A 13,718-nucleotide genomic window follows, 5' to 3' on the forward strand; every position below is an offset into this window, starting at 1 on the left:
CTAAGGTGAAATGTAGAAAAGAATTTCCAGACTGCAGAAGCATTTAGAGGAATTTGGGAGGATCCTCTTCCCTTTAGTCTCCATCAACACAGATTTCAGGTTCCCCAAGCCACCGCCTGGACGTGTATGAAGGGACTCCTAAAATCCTCAACACTGCAGGGCTCCTCTGGAATTCTGCAACACTGCAAAGCAGATATTTCAAAACCCAGCAGTTAAGATGTAATGCTAGGAACCCATTCTTATAGCTTCTCAATGTGAAACTTGTGAACTTGGTTTTGAAGCATTTGTGACAGAATAGACAATTCTTTCTAGAAAGTTAAGGTTTTAACAAGTTCTTCTGGAAAATGAGGGGATTGAACTGGATATCTCATACCTCAAACTCAAACTATCATGTTTTAAACATGTTTTACACCTTTACAGGTGGAATTGAGTTTGTCCACTTGCAAAGTGGGTTAGATTTTCTGTTTGAAGTTTACAGTTGACAAAAGATTCTCTCTTTGACCAAACTCTAATCAGTCTCCTTGAGTCCTCTTCCCAATTTGTCCTCAACCTTGGCCTATAAAGACATGAACAAATGCTACATAGTTTCAAACAGCTCAAGGCTACATTCCTAGAATGACCCTAGATCCCTTTAAAGTGCCTGCCTGAGAAAACTCAAGACTGCCAAAAGTAACAAACCTGCACGTTGTGCACATGTACCCTAGAACTTAAAGTATAATTAAAAAAAAAAAGAAGAAGAATAATTTACTGTTTGTTCCAGCCAATACCTGAAGGCAAGGCCTTGTCTCCTAGCCTTTGTTGGAGGGTAGGAGCCTAACTCCAATAAGCACCAGTTAGCAAGCCTAGATGGGTCTCACAGGGACTGGTCCCCTCTCTTCTCATTTTTTGTAATTTTTTCACTTCGCAGACTCTTCTTAGGCACCTGCAATTCTTCCCTGCCCCACTGTCCCCCAATTCATTTTCTCTTTAAAAAGCCCGGTGACCTCTCTATAAATCTGAAGGGAACTCAGCTCTTTCCCCTACTGTCAATAGTTATTCAGTAAAGTGTTTTCACTGTTTTAACTAAAGTCTGACTGTGCTTATCTTTGCCATAATAAAGACAACCTCTCAACATTTTTCTTAGGCTACTATTATAACCCCAGGGATGGCAGGTGGGGGGCGGGGACATCTTCAGTCATTCAGCATATCTTGAGCTTTCTCTGTGTGCTTTGGCACTGGGCTGTGGAGGAGCAGTAATTATGCCACTGGAGCAAAAAGGGTGATGCCTGTAATATATTAAATAACAAAGTAAGAGGCTAAATTGTGATTCAATATGAAAGGAGTAGCATGGATAATTACTGTATGAGTTACAGGAGGTAAATTGAGGGACCTCATTAAGTGAGATAATATATGTAACCACTGGAACAAGGTAAGCACTAAATAAATGTCAGCTATTATTCATATTTACTATGGAGGTGGGATTTAAGCTGGGTGTTGAGATTATGGAGGAGCTGTTCATTCATTCATGCTTCATTCATGAAGCATATTTTAAAGGCATTTGTCAAGCACTGTAATAGACATTGAGGGTAAGAAAGAGACAAGACAGTGGGGTTCCAGCCCTTATGGAGCTTCCATTCTGTAGGGGGAAAGTGGAGGGACAATAAACAAATTGTTCTCAGTGCTTAGATGAAGTGACGTCAGGTTGAAACCGGAAGGGTTAAAAAGCCAGCCACACAGAGCTAAGCAAAGAGCATTTCAGGCAGCAGTCAAAGCAAGGGCCACCGTGTGGAGGCAGCAAAATACTTCCCTGTTCAAGGAACAGAAGAGAGTGTGGGGAGAGCGGTTGCATATGCAATGGAGAGATAGGCAGGAGGCAGATCCGAGGGACCTTGTAGGCCATGGTTGGTGTGGATTTTAGTCTTAGTCTCACTCTATGTGAAAAGGGTACTGTGATGCTGTGATGGAGTGGGAGCACGGCATAGGCAGCAGGATGGGCGAGTCATGTTCCTGGGTAAGCCAACACAGCAGCCTGGCTGGAGAGGGAGGCTGCAGTGGAAGCCACCTGGAGACCAAGATTTTAGTTAGATTCTGAAGGTCTTGAGCTAGCTTCTACCTTTATTCCTGTAAACAACGGGAGTTGTTAATTATTCATCAGAGGAACGATTTAATGAATTTAAAAATTGTAGTTAGGCTGGGTGTGGTGGCTTACCCCTATAACCTCAATATTTTGAGAGGCCAAGGAGGGAGGATTGCTTGAGCCCAAGAGTTCAAGACCAGCCTGGGCAACATAGTGAAACCCCATCTCCACAAAAAAGAAAAATATCAGCAGGGCATGGTGGTGTACACCTGTAGTCCCAGCTACTCAGGAGGCTGAGGTGGGAGGATCGCTTGAGCCCAGGAATCCGAACTTGCAGTGAGCTGTAGTCATGCCACTGCACCCTAGCCTGGACAACAGAGCAAGACTCTCTCTCTCTCAAAAAAAAAAAAAAAGAATTGTAGGTATACCTGCCACATCTAACATACTACGGTGGGGGGTACAAAAATGTATAAGAAGTGTTCTCAATCCAATTTACTGAATCTATCCTAAAAATTGTGTCTTACGGATATTCATCAATTGGTGGTGAAGAAACTAGAATAAGAAAACATTTCTGGGCCTAATGCAGTGGGCCTCATCTGTATCACTTGTCCTCCTGCCTCCTTAGCAACCTGGCTCAATCCCTTATGATGTCATCCTCCCTCTCTCTCTGGCTTCCCCTTGGCCCATAAGCACGCTCTCCTGCTCTCTTTAACATCATCCAAACTTTCCAAAAGCAGCATCTCTGAAGACCCCCTTCTCCCCTTTAACTACTGCCCTCCAGCTCACTCTCATCTCCTTTCAAAGCAAAGCTCCTTGGAAGAGTCCTAAATGCTTCCTATCTGTACTTCTCTGTGGTAGGTCTCTAATTCAACCCACCATCATTTGGCTTATCTTGGTCTTCAACCCACCCCACCACAGCCCACCACTCGACTGACATTGCTCTCCTAAGACTCACAATAACCTTAGCAGATTCAAATTCAATGAATACTTTTCTTTCCTTATCATTCTGTATCTTTTTTTTCTTGATGTACTAGTATTTGATGTTGATTTGATCATATTTTCTCTCAGTCCCACCTTGGCTTCCTGATGGGTTTTCTCACCTTTTAGGTTTTCCTCCTACTGCCTCTGTTTCTTCCTTCTCAGTGTCCTCTCCTGTTATCTCTTTTACATGTTGATGTTCCCCAAGGTTCAATCTCCTGCTCATTTCCCTTCTTACCCTATGTACTTTCTCTGAGTGGCCTTATCCAAACCTATGACTTCAGTGGAAACAATCTTCTAGTGACTCTCAATTCTTCACATCCAGCCCAGAACACTCTCCTGAGTCTGTCATGTGAATTTCCAACCAGACTCTCCTGGATACCTCAAAGTAAACCTCTTCCCCATTTCTCCTTTCTAAGTCAGGATGAATGTCAGGATGAATGTCACCACCACCTGCCTTTTGTCGAAGTCAGAAACCTGGAATGTTTCAAGGACACCTCCCTCTGTTTCACCCTACAATGTAATTAGTCATGAAGACCTGTCAGTTCTGTTTTCTAAATGCGTTTTCGTAACTCAGCCTCTCTTCCCTGTTCCCACTGCCATAACCTGAGCCCAGGCTTTTGTCATTTATTGCCTGGGTTACTGACACTACCTTCCAACTAGTTTCTTTGCCTTTAGCCTGGCTTTCTTCCAATTCATCATCTGTGCCACTGTCAAGGTGAGCCTTATAAAATGCAAATTAAACTATGTTACTCCCTTGTCTGAAATATTTCAATGGCTCTATGTGGTCTGCAGAATAATGTTCAAATCTCTTAGCATTTCCTACCAAGTTCCTCCTGGCCTGGCCTCTCCAGGCTCATCTCCCATCAGTCCCTCATAGCCATCCTACACTTCAGACCATCATCTCTCCAATGCTGTTCTGAAGAATACATCCTCAAAATATTGAAGAAAGTTTGCCCAAATAAGTCTGGACTTAAATCCAATCAATAGTTTACATTGGAATACACAACTCAAGCTATTTGGAACAACTTATAGTTCCTACAATATGCCACTCTGTCTTTTGCTTCTCCCCTTCTGCCTAGGATACCATTCACTTATTAATTAATTGATTACAAAAGTCAACTGTTCTGTATCTGCTGAGCAGACTGAAAAAAGTGCTGTATCCTGGGCATACAAAAGGAAAAAAGGCTCCAGGTGAGCCAAACAAGTAAACAGACAATTACAATATGTCATGATAAATGCTGTATAACTTAGCAGCATAAAGTGGGGGCCCTGAGTTGGAGTAATCAGAGGACAGTAACTTTTCCCCCTGCTTCATGTGAGTTATCTCTGAGAAAGGTGTCAGTTTTACTTTATGTATTTTGAGCTTAGTTGTTAAAGGCACATATATTTCTAATTGTTATGTCTTTCTGATGTATTGACTCTTATTGTTATGAAATTGTTCCTCTTTGTCTCTAGTAATATTTCTAGTTTTAAAGTCTGTTTTGTCTGTTAATATAACCATTTCAGTCCTCTAATAGTTACTCTTTGAATGGTGTATCTTTTTCCATCTTCTTACTTTCAGCCTATTTGTGTCTTTGAATCTAAGCCTCTTATAGATATCATATAGTTGGCTCTTGTCTTTTTATTCAGTCTAATAATCTCTGGGTTTTGATTGGGGTATGTAGACCATTCACATTTAATGTAATTGTTGATATGGTTAGATTTATATTTGCTATTTTTCTATTTGTTTTCTATATGTCAACTTTCTTTTTTATTAATCGGTTAATCCTTGATTGCTTTCCTTTTTTCTTTTCTTTTGTGTTAAATATTTTTAGGGTAACGTCTGAATTACTCCACATTTTGAAAAAAGTTTTAGCTATTTCTCAGAGATTGTAGTCTAAGAATTACAATATATGTCTTTATTTATCATAATGTACTTCAGATTAATACTAAATTCCTGAAAAACATAAAAATTTTGCTTCAATATTCTTCTATCCCTCCCACCTTCTTTGTGCTATTATTTACATATATATTACATCTATATGTTATAAACACAGCAATACAATGTTGTAATTATTGCTTTATACAATCTCATGTCTTTGAAAAAAGTTAGATAAGAAATGAGAGGCCGGGCGTGGTGGCTCATGCCTGTAATCCCAGCACTTTGGGAGGCTGAGGCGGGCGGATCACCTGAGGTCAGGAGTTCAAGACCAGCCTGACCAACAAGGAGAAACCCCGCCTTTACTAAAAATACAAAATTAGCTGGGCATGGTGGCACATGCCTGTAATCCCAGCTACTAGGGAGCCTGAGGCAGAAGAATCGCTTGAACCTGGGAGGTAGAGGTTGTGGTGAGCCGAGATCGTGCCATTGCACTCCAGCCTGGGCAACAAGAGTGAAACTCCGTCTCAAAAAAAAAAAAAAAAAAAAAGAAATGAGAAGAAAAATTACCATAGATGATTTTGTAATAACCTGTATAACTATTACTTTTGTGCTCTTCATTTTTCCCTTTAGGAATGGGTACTCCAAATTGAATGAGCCCCTTTGACTGTGGTAGAGGTGCTGCTTGCGCTGAGAGCTTGCCCTTCCCAGACAGAACATCTACATTAACCAAGCTGGGGTCAGCAAGGGGAATGAGAGAGGCCCCAGGCCAAATGCATCAGATGCTCACTGTTCTTACCTGGAGTTCAGTCATTTTCAAGCATAACTGCTTTCAGACTGTTGTGTGTCTTTGATCTCAGAGTGCTGAAATGGTTGTTTTGGTCAGTTTTGTCCAGTTTTATGTTTGCATTTTGGCAAGATGATTTGCTGATCTTGTCAGTCACCCATAACTAGAAGTTATTAGTGATATAGCTTTTAGTTAACAGCAAGTCCATTTGGTCAGGGGGAATAAGGTGGCTCAAGAATTTAAGGAGTGAAGGACTGAATTGTAGAACAAAGTCAGAAATTGCCTAGTTGTAGATAACAGTTACAGCCCATCCCGCCTCATGGACTTTGAAGGAGATTCCTGTGTCAGCAGAAGGCCCCAGGTGAACCAGGGTGCAATTCGCATTTCTGCTTCTTCTCATTCTTGGAATAAGCAGAAGCAGATATAAAAGGGAGAGATGGCTGAGGGTGAGATACCCTCTAGGTCCTTACACTTATGAGACTGACAGTGCTGCCCACTGCATCAAGAGGGCTACTTGGGTCCTTTCATGTGAGTCAAATAGCTCATCCTTCCTGTCCAAATGGCAGGAACTTGACCAAAGGATTATGACCCTTGCAAAGATGAAGAGGGCAGGAGGTAATGGGCTAGGGTTCATTCTGGAGAGCAGAGAATGACTTTAATTAAGGAAAATTTGTGTCCCAAGAGACTGGATTGAGTACACAAGAGAACTTTGCGTTTTGTGCTTTAAAAATCTGCATCTTGAAGAAAGTGGAATGATGGTTGTCAGGGGCTGCGGTAGGGGGGATGAGGAGTTACTGATTAATGGGTACAGAGTTTCAGTTTTGCAAAATGAAGAGATCTGGAGATGGATGGCAGTCATAATTGCACAATAATATGGATATACTTAATACCACTGAACTGTACGCTTAAAATGGTTAAGATGGTAAATTTTATGTTACATGTATTTTAACACAATTTTTAAAATTAAGAAAATCAAAGAATTTTTTTAGAAAGCCTGTATCACAGGGCAACACTGTGCATGGTTTGTGGAGTTTATGGTATAAAAATCTATGTGACTGTTGCCTGGCGTTCTACATTATTCCTGGTCATTTAAGTCATAAATCCACAGTGTCTTGCCAACTTTGGAAGTTCCCATGATTACTGGTAGTTTATGTGATAGGTGAACTCCCTTTTTTTTTTTAACTGGACTCAGGCTTATAATTAAGTGAGTGGAAACAATCAGCCAAGTCTTGATGCACATGCACTCTTCTGAGAAAGTCCCAGAGTATTGCTCTGACAGATGACAGATGTCCTTACAGGGACAGAGCTGGCAACACATCGACCTCCCTAGTGGTCACCAGCTGCTAGTGGGTCCACCAGCTGGAAAACACCTTTGTGTTATTCTTATATTTCTCTTCTCATAAAAATGCTACAAAGATTGTAAGGCATTTGGAGCTGGGTAAAGATTAAGTTTTGGAGAAATTGGATTAATATTCATTATAATAGGCCAGGATAAAAGAATTAATGAAAATGTCAAAAAGAAAAAATAACTTTTCTTTTTAGGCAGGACATTTATAAAAATTTATAGTCTTGGTCAAATAAATTGTGTACAGACATACATACAATTTTTTTTTTTTTTGAGATGGAGTCTTGCTCTGTCGCCAGGCTGGAGTGTAGTGGCACGATCTCGACTCACTGCAACCTCTGCCTCCTGGGTTCAAGCGATTCTCCTGCCTCAGTCTCCTGAGTAGCTGGAATACAGGCGCCCACCACCATGCCCAGCTAATTTTTGTATTTTTAGTAGAGATGGGGTTTCACCATGTTGGCCAGGATGGTCTCGATCTCTTGACCTCATGATCCGCCCACTTCTGCCTCCCAAAGTGTTGGGATTACAGATGTAAGCCACCGTGCCCAGCCCATACATACGATTTTAAAAGTAATCTAAAGGGATGTTTTCCAATTTTTTTTTCTTTTTGGTAGAGTTGGGGGCCTCACTATATTGCTCTGGCTGGTCTTGAACTCCTAGGTGCAAGTGATCCTCCCGTCTCAGCCTCTCCAAATGTTGGGATTATAGGCCTGAAACACCGCACCCAGCTCCAATTTTTAAAATGTTGAGTATATATTAATTACAAAAGCTATTTCTCTTGAATCTCTCAAATGTGATGTGGAATGAAAGAAGGCAAACACAGAAGACAGTACATATCATATGACTCTATTTATATAAAGTACAAAACCAGTCAAAGCTGTTCTATGCTATTAGAGGTAAAGAATCAATTACCCTTTGATGAAGGGTGTTGACTTCAAAGGAGCATGAAGAGGGCTTGTGGGGCTACTGGTTATTTTGTGTTTCTTGATCTGTAGCTATATTATATTTCAATAAAGTATTTTTTTCAAGTTTGCATTCTTCTTAGTGTTTACAGTTACATTTAAAGTTGAGAGGAATTAAAAAGTGAGTGTGTGAATGTGTAAGACCCCACATTTTGCCTTCTTGTCACTCGTATGGAAAAACTGATCATTTTTCACGAGGTCAGGAGATCGAGACCATCCTGGCCAACATGGTGAAACCCTGTCTCTACTAAAAGTACAAAAATTAGCTGGGAGTGGAGGCGCGTGCCTGTAATCCCAGCTACTCGGGAGACTGAGGCGGGAGAATCCCTTGAACCCAGGAGGCGGAGGTTGCAGTGAGCCGAGATCGCACCACTGCACTCCAGTATGGCAACATAGTGAGACTCCGTCTCAAAAAAAAAAAAAAACTGATCATTTTAAATGTTAATGTGATTCCAGAGAAAACACAGAGCATTATTTTGTACTTTGCTTTATTTTTCAACATGTGCCTGTAAACCAAAGAATATCTGAGACAAGACTCAATTTAGGAAGTTTATTCTGCCAAGGTTAAGAATGCACTCGTGACATGGCCCCAGGAGTCCTGAAGACATGTGCCCAGGGTGATTGGGGCACAGCTTGGTATTTTACATTTTAGGAAGACACGGGACATCAATCAATATACATAAGACGTACATTGGTTTGGTCCAGAAAGGCAAGACAACTTGAAGTGTGGTGGGGGCTTCCAGGTCACAGGTAGATAAAGGACAAACGGTTGCATTCTTTTGAGTTTCTGATGAGCCTTTCACTGAATACGGCAATTTACAGGAACAGTCACTTAGGCCTTTGTCTGGCTTAGTGAAACAATAGGCCGAAGGTAGCAATCAGATATGCATTTGTCTTACGTGAACAGAGGAATGGCTTTGAGTTCTGTCTGTCCTTTTGTCCGCAGGGAATTTTCTTGTGGGCAGATTGTAAGGGAGGTATATAGCTTTTTTATCTTTGTAGCTATCTTATTGAGGAGTAGAATGGGAGGCAGGTTTGCCCTATGCAGTTCCCAGCTTGACTTTTCCCTTTGGTTTAGTGATTTGGGGGTACTGAGATTTATTTTCCTTTCACATGCCTATAGGTTCAAGTAGCCATGACATTTCATGAGCATTAGCATAAAGCTGGGCGGCTGAATAGAATTTTGTTTCTCTTATCAACTTATAATTTTCCCCAGGGCTACTTTCAATCTAGGAAAAATTTAACTCCCCAATGATGTCAAAGACAGCATATTCCAGAGATTAATTAACGAGTCACCCAGAGAAGATAGAAGTGCTATTATGCTGACATGTTCAAGGGCTAATCGGTTCTGATGATGTAATTTGCAGTAGTGCTTGATGTATATTAGCCTGATGGGTGACAGCTGCTCTGGGCCCAGATGATTAAAGTGTGAAGCACGAGGGTGGGGTGGAGGGTCGTCGGGGTGTGGTGAGTGCTTTCAAATGGAAAGAGAGTTTTTTTATAGAGCCAGAGTGAATACAGCCTGGTTATGCTGGTTACCTCACCTACCACCTAGAAAGCCTGTTTAATCATCTCTTTATCTACACAGACTTTATCAGGCCTAACACAATCTCCACTCCCGCCTCCCCTCAGCCAAGACCGCCCCAGTCAACATTGGCTGATGCTCCCTTCCCCAAACAACTGTGCAACTTACAGTCAGCATCACATACTTTAGCACCTATTTCTTCAATAGTTATTTCAGGAATGTGTACCATGTTCCCCAACTTAAGCATAAGCTACTTAAGAACATCATTTTTTTCTATGTTCTCCACAGCATGGGGGATAAGCATAAAAGTTCAATAAAAAAATAACTGGAGCAAAATTTTGATAATTATTCAAGCAGAGGGATGGTTACACGTGGGTCTATTCTACTTTCTTTCTACTTTTGTGTGTGTTTGAAAATTCCCTTGATAGCAGGGCTGGCAGATTTAGCCAATCAAAATGCAGGATGTTCAGCCACATTTGAATTTCAGGTAAACAATGAATAGTTTCTTCTTACTAAACACTTCTATTATATTTTATTATAATTACTTATTTATGTCTATTTGATGTGATCATTTAATTTATAACAGTATCATTCATATTCTAACATTACATTTCTATTATAGTATGTTATGTTTTTATATTATTAATATTTTATGGTTCCATGAGACGTACTAAAAAGCTATTTGTTGTTCATCTGAAACGCGAATTTAACTAGGTGTTCTGTATTTTATCTGGCAACCTAACTTGCTAAAACTTAAGAACATAATTGGTGATTAATCAATGGGCTAAAAGAAAGCAGATGGTAGAAACACTGCAGTGCCTCTTAGAGTGAGATCTGGTGTCACTTGCATTAGTATCTTCTGTGGAACCTGTTAAAAAGGAAGGCTCCAGTGGCCTCCTGTCCCAATCCTGGAGCCACCAAATTGGGTTATTTCTGCTGGTGGGACTCTGCATTTGCAGTAAGAGCCCCAGGTGGTTCTGATGCTGTTGCTAGCCAACCTGTTGCCTTTGATGTTTCTAGTTTTTCTGATGTGATCTTTTATTTCCTTGTAACTTGTTTCCTTGGCCTTGTTTCAGCAACTTCTACTCCATTTTTATGTCAGGGACATGACCTAAGAGATGTTAATATTTCTACTCAATGACTCGCTAAATATTACAAATCAAATATAGTCACATAGTCACAAACCTTCTAGCAGCATTTTTTAGTTGACCTACTCCTTAGAATGCATCCAGTGGCCCAGCGTCTTAACTACTGATGTATATTCTATTCATATATATTCATTTTGTTGTTGTTGTTTTGTTTTTTAAGAGACAGGGTCTTACTCTATCACCCAGGCTGGAGTGCAGTGGTGCGATCATAGCTCACTATAACCTTGACTGGCTAGGCTCAAGAGATCCTCCCACCTCAGTCTGCCCAGCAGATGGGAGTACAGGTGTGTGCCACTAGGCCCAGGTAATTTTTCAATTTTTTGTAGGGATGAAGCCTCACTACGTTGCCCAGGCTTGTCTTTAAGTCCTGGCTTCAAGTGATCCTCCCGTCTTGGCTCCCAAAGTGTTACGATTACAGGCATGAGCCATCACACCCAGCCAGATATATTCATTGTTATTGATAGATTATAACTGACAGAATCGCAGCTCCCTGTAGTGTATTTTAAAGCCAGGGCTTATGGACAGATGCTGTAGAGTGACCAAACATTCTTGCGTGCTTGGGACTGTTCAGTTTTAGCGCTGATGTTCCCATGCCCTAGGCTTTTTCTCAGTCCTGGTTGCTCCTGGTCATCCTACCTGTAGGTCAGGTTCCCCATTCTCAGACTCTGAGGATCCCCTGTAGGGGAATATTAGCAAACACTTTCAGGAGCTGAGCCCTGAGTGGGTGAGGGAAGCAGGATTGAGTAGAGGGAAAATGGGGTTTTACTGGCCACTTTCAAGGTAGGGTGACCTCATCCAAAATTATGCCCTGCCCTCAGGGACAGTAACCAGTTGACACATCCCCAGAACTTAGTGCATGACATTTCTGATTAACTATCCCAGCTCTAGAACTTTCTGTGGGATCAGCTGAGGCCTCTATTGTAACTGCCCTTCAATTCAACTTGTCCTTCTGTGCAATCCTGCTTCCCTCATGCCCTCAGGGCTCAGCTCCTGAAAGCATTTTCTAATATTCCCTATCAGGCAAATCTCAGAGTCTGACAGCCCAGAGGAACCTGACCTACAACAGCAGGCACAGGGGTAAAGTGGTCCTAGGAAGCAGCGTCTAATGTAGGATTTTGAAGCTGGGTCGCTGCTGACTGGCTGGTGATGAGAACCCTTCCCTAGTGGTAGATGGAGTCCCTGGTGGGGCAAGACTTTCACCAGTGGTAAACTGGAATGGGCTGAAGGCCCATCCAGAGGTTTGGGGAAAGTAGTAATTTAAGGACAATAAAATGGCATGGTTGTTACTGGCCACTCTCAATGCATTGGAGAGAGACGATGAAAGGTTATGGGTGATTAACCACCAATTTCAGGCTGAATGTAAAAACCAGAAGATCTTCTTGGCAGCACAAGAGACTCTCATCTCCTGCAGTCAGAGTTTGGACCTCCTGAAGATGAGACCCAGAACTTAAATTAGAAAGCCACAGCTGGGCGCTGGGGCTCACACCTGTAATCCTAGCGCTTTGGGAGACGGAGGAGGGAATATTGCTTGAGCTCAGGAGTTCCAAAACAGCCTTGGCAACATGGTGAAACCCTCTCTCTACAAAAAACACAAAAATTAGCTGGGCGTGATTGTGCGTGACTGTAGTCCCAGCTACTTGGGAGGGTGAGGTGGGAGGATTGCTTGGGCCTCAGGAGGTTGAGGCTGCAGTGATCCGTGATCGTGCCACTTCACTCCAGCCTGGGTGACAGAGTGAGACCCTGTCTCAAAAACAAAACAAACCAACCAACCAAGCAAACAGAAGTCGCAGAGCTCCAGTGAAGGCAGAATTCTCAATCCTAGTGAGCTGTCTATGTCAAAGTCACAATCCTAGTTGGGAGGGAGTGGGATCCTGAGATTTGGGGTGAGGACATATAGGCAAGTGTCCTTGTAAATTTTGACTTCCCAGATTTCCTCTGAATTCTCTGGGCCTGCAGAAGGGGCCCATTCTCCTGGTTGGTTAAAGGTTAACACTCCCTACTTTTGAAGTCAATACAGAGATTTTTGCCTTGCAAGAAAACAACTTCTTTCCCCACAGAATCTCAACGTCTCCCTTCATCCTGCCACCAAACCAGTAATGAGGGTGAGGTTACAACATAATTGAAGAGCCTGCTCAGGGAGAAAAGAGACCATTCCTCAAAGGAGCTGCAGGACCTGGACAACATATGTTGTCAGAAGCTGGAAGAGTACATAGGGATCCTGTTAAATTCAGTTTAGCCTAAAGCTGCCTCTTCTCATATTTTAAGTTCAGCCTAAAGGTTTTTCTGTACATAGTGAATTAACTGTAACCTAACTGGATGTGTAAACAGACTGTAATCTACTCTTGTAACAAGTAGCCAAGTCCCAGCCAATCACAGAAACCACACTTCCACTACTCACAGGCAGCCAACTGTTCGAACAGTATTTAAATAAGGCGAACACTGAGCTGTAAGCAATCCATCTGTTTCTGTACCTCATTTCCATTTTCTGAACATCACTTTCCTTTTTCTGTCCATAAATCCTCTCTGGTTGGGAGGGGAGGGAGACGGGGTTGGGGAGAAGTGGCTGTCTGATTTGCAAATCATTCTTTGCTCAATTAAACTCTGTTAAATTTAATTTGTCTAAAGTTTTTCTTTTAACAATCCTGAGTATGCATAATCGAGGGAGGTAGAGCATACAGTTGGATAAAGAAGAATTCATTGATAAGAGAGCACTTTCCCATGATGTAGGAGTTCACCTCGGCAAGGACCCAGGAAACACTAGCTGTTGCACTGCTAGAATGCCTCTTGGAAGTTAGAGAGAACATCACATCAAATTGATCTACTATATCAATGATACCATGTTAATCATACTGGGTGAGCAAGAAGTGCAAGTACATTGGAGGCCTTGATAAGACACTTGTGCTTCAGAGGCTGGAGCTCTGCCATGTCAGTGAAATGTTTAGTCCACACAGTGCCACATAAGTACAGAGCCTGGGTTACCCTGGGATATCCCCTTCAAAGTAAAGGACAAATGTCTGCATTTCATGCCTCCACTACTGAAAAGGAAGCACAGTGCC

The 13,718-nt window shown here is 41.9% G+C and overlaps 2 annotated features.

Annotated features, from left to right (window-relative positions):
• Positions 6,992-7,657: an enhancer, noted in NCBI's record as "H3K27ac hESC enhancer chr10:105686883-105687548 (GRCh37/hg19 assembly coordinates)". NCBI's record gives its function as "activates a minimal SCP1, AML or CMV promoter by ChIP-STARR-seq in primed H9 embryonic stem cells {active_cell/tissue: H9 hESC(primed)}" and the evidence as "EXISTENCE:reporter gene assay evidence [ECO:0000049][PMID:30033119]".
• Positions 8,324-8,989: an enhancer, noted in NCBI's record as "NANOG-H3K27ac-H3K4me1 hESC enhancer chr10:105688215-105688880 (GRCh37/hg19 assembly coordinates)". NCBI's record gives its function as "activates a minimal SCP1, AML or CMV promoter by ChIP-STARR-seq in naive H9 embryonic stem cells {active_cell/tissue: H9 hESC(naive)}" and the evidence as "EXISTENCE:reporter gene assay evidence [ECO:0000049][PMID:30033119]".

This window comes from Homo sapiens, chromosome 10 (genome assembly GCF_000001405.40).
Source record: "Homo sapiens chromosome 10, GRCh38.p14 Primary Assembly".
NCBI lineage: Eukaryota > Metazoa > Chordata > Mammalia > Primates > Hominidae > Homo > Homo sapiens.